This window comes from Homo sapiens, chromosome 4, assembly GCF_000001405.40.
Source record: "Homo sapiens chromosome 4, GRCh38.p14 Primary Assembly".
NCBI classification, from domain to species: domain Eukaryota; kingdom Metazoa; phylum Chordata; class Mammalia; order Primates; family Hominidae; genus Homo; species Homo sapiens.
The window spans coordinates 32,821,705-32,825,347 of record NC_000004.12 but is presented as its reverse complement, the minus strand read 5'-3'; positions in this window follow the sequence as shown (position 1 = coordinate 32,825,347).

The following is a 3,643-nucleotide window of genomic DNA, read 5'->3' as shown; positions in this document are numbered from 1 at the left end:
CTGATGTGACTTAGTATATGTTATCAGTAATAATTATAATTGCTATGTTAAGTTATTGTGTGCCACAAAGGTAACAAATTTCCTTGTCAATTGTGTCTTTGACTGTGGCTGCCCTGAAACATTTTGTTACCCACAAACAATTGTTATCCTGTTTTGATCCTCCTTAGAAGATGGTTTTATTATCAGCTATAGACCTCTAACAGGTATTCTAAAATGGAAGTTTCTGGTAACTTTGGAAATTGTGACATTAGAATAGAGGAAAAAACTTTCAGAACTCTCAAGGAGAGCTGAAATGTTCATGAATATCAAGCAGAACAGAAGTTAAGTGCATAAACTGAATGGTTAGAAAACTAAAGTAATCTCTTTGGCTTTTTTTGCTTTAAATGTTGCTGATTCTTTGTTTTTTTTTTTCAGAGTCAATGAAACTTTTTTTTGAGCTATTGATCAGGTTTAGTATACAATTTGGTATACTCTTATGAACAAAATTTGGAGCATATGTTTTATCTCTCTACCTGATTTCTCCAGAATTTGAAAACTATTTGTAAATATTCCTAACTTATGGCAATACAGTTATTTGCATAAGTGCAATAAGAATCTGTTTTCATTTTGCAACAGGACACAATTGGAGAAACTGGTTATTTTACCAAGGCTTTGACTAGAATGGTGTCTTTCCTTTAAGTAATAAAACTTGACTTATAAAGCCAATAAAGCCCCTTGGGAAACTGGCCTCATACCTTCACTGTACAGGGTTCCTGACCTGTGGTAAGTAAAGAATGCCACTTTCTAACTGGCCCAGGAGCCCCAAGTTCATCTTGGAACTTAAAGACGAAAGGATCACTCAACTCATAGATATTTGATTGCACAATTCTATGGCTTGGCTTGGTTTCAAAAAACTCTTATCTGAGATTCCTTCTATGGAACAAAGTTCCATCAAAGCCAATTTAAAAGCCCACGTTAAAAACAATTATTCTTGCTGTACTGTATACAAGATATTAGGCCAAGTACAATAAAGCAAATCAGTCATATCATGATTTGCTTTTAGTAAAAATGGGTAACTGGAGAAAGAAAAATTATGTTTCAAAAACTATAGTACGGCTATTGTTAGATTCTTAGTCTTGCTGAATGTTTTTCAATTTTATTATTTTCTACACTTTGGATGGAATTCTAACTTTTCTTGGCTACAAGTTCTCAACTTTGTTTTTCCCATTTTTCCTAATTTGGAGTTACTGGAAACTAAGCTGTACTTTTGTAAAGCCCTGCAAACTAAGCTAGAAAACCTAAATTCAGAAGAAAGTAATGGCAATCTATTTACGTACATATACCACTTTCATACTGTCTACTGATGCATGGACTTTGGAGTAATGTGGGCTATATCAATTTTCCAGAATTGTTATTTTGTTTGTTGTTGTTTTTCTCCCTTCCTCCCCCTATTTTATCTTCGCAGAACATGAGACTTCACAACCTTCTAAAAATGAGCTTTCCTAATAACTCAATACCTACCTGTCTAGGAATAAAACATCCTAGTTATGAGAGTTCAGATGAAACCTGGAAACAGAGACTCATTTTCTTCTAAAATGCTTTATCCAAAAGATTTTAAAAAGGAAAGGGGGGGAAGTGTGAAAGAAAATTATATTGGGCCCCCAAAATCACTAAACTAAAGGGAAAAGTGAAGCTTGGAACTGTTTAGAGCAAACCGGCCTCCCATTCTATTCAAAGTTATCCTTCTGTTCAGTGAAATAAATTCGTATCTGATTGCCTCCTTTGGAAAGGCTAATCAGGAACTTCAAATAATTCAACCATTTGTCTTGTATCTACCTACGACCTGGAAGCCCCCTCTCCACTTTGAGTTGTCCCACCTTTCCAAACCAAACTAATGTTCATCTTAGATATGTTGATTGAGGTCTGATGTTTCCCTAAAATAATTAGAACCAAACTATGCTCTGATCACCTTGGGCACATGTCATCAGGACCTCCTGAGGCTGTGTCATGGGCACACATCCTCAACCTTGGCAAAATACACTTTCTAAATTAACTGATACCTCTCTCAAATTTTGGGAATTCACATTATCATATCTAATACTGTTCATTTTCTTGAATTAATCTAGATTTCTATTTAAAAATATTTTCCCTCTTTCTGAAGTATTTCCTTTAGAAATAGCATAAAAGCCGGAAGAAATGACATAGAAATACAGCGCTATCAGTTTCTTATATCAGAAGTGTCATAACATTACTTTAAGGAAGATGGCAATAAGTGTAAAGGTTTATACTATAAAACCTAAGGCTGAAATATTAATTTATAACATAGAAAAGTATAGCTAATATTGAAACAAGGAAATGCAATGATACCATAAAAAACACTCAATTAATTTGAAAGAAGATATATTTAAAAAGAGGGACAAACTACTAGGTCCTTAAAATAAGCAGGCAGATAATGCAGGGTTTTTAGTATCTGTTAATATTTTGGATTTTATTCTAAGTCAGATAAGAATGTCCTGAATGGTTTTCATCAGAGAGGTAATCCAATAAGATTTACTTTACTAAAAATAATAAAGAAAGAAAGAAAGAAAGAAGAAGGATGAAAAGAAAAAAGGATGCAGTGGTTGCCTGAACACAATACAAAATCTTCGCTGACTGCCTTGAGATGGAATTAATAGGGAGGCAGTTTCAATTTGGGAGATATGCTAGCAGGCTACTTTTATAAATAGACTAGGGTAAATGTCTTCACTAACAACTCAACTAACATAATAAATGCAACAGATTCCTGCTGTGTCTACACATTTTCTATCGAAATTAAAGAATAATTTGATTCAGGGTATTCTTAAACTAGAATAGCTGCCCTGCCCCTGGGTGTTTGCAGACTCTTTTATACATATTTGAACTAACAGCACTCACATTCACACAACTTGCAGTGAAAAATCCTTCCATACCTGTTAGGTGCCTGAGGCTGAAGACCTTCTCCTTCTGGTAAAGAAATTAGCTTCTTTAGTATGTATAATACCTTAATTTTAATTAATAGAAAATAAAGTGACAGAAGAAGTTTAACAAATTATTGAAAGATAGCTTTCAACATCCATTTCATTACAAATTTAAATTTGATCACCATTTTCAGACTTTCCTTTTAAGCCATGGCAGAGTAATGAGTAATGACTTAATCTCTTGCCTTAAGCATATCAACAAATTGACAAAATATATTTAAAAAATAGATTGCAGACATTGGATAATATGCAGCACTAGATAGTGGTTGTGAAAGAATAAAAAACAAGGTGAGCCCTCCACTTTGCTAGTTTAATGCCTAGAAAGAGTGTCCAGGCCACATTACTAGGGAAGGTCATCCAAACAGAGCAGGATGTCTTCCTGGACTGGAGAGACAGAGGGAAGATTTTCAAGCCACAATGGCATTCGGAGTTTACAGAGTAGATAACTGTGAACTGTGTGGAAATTAGATTATTGCTCAGAGTTCAGGAAGCTCAGGAGACCGGCAAAGCATTCCCTTCTAGACTTCAATTGAGTAATTATCAGCAAATATCTGTGACTACATAGCACAAGGCAGAAAGAGGGTGTTGAGAGGATACACCAGAAACAAGAGTCTGGAAAAATCATAAGAGATCGTAGAATTTGGAATAGTTTGTGTTCCACTAGCAAG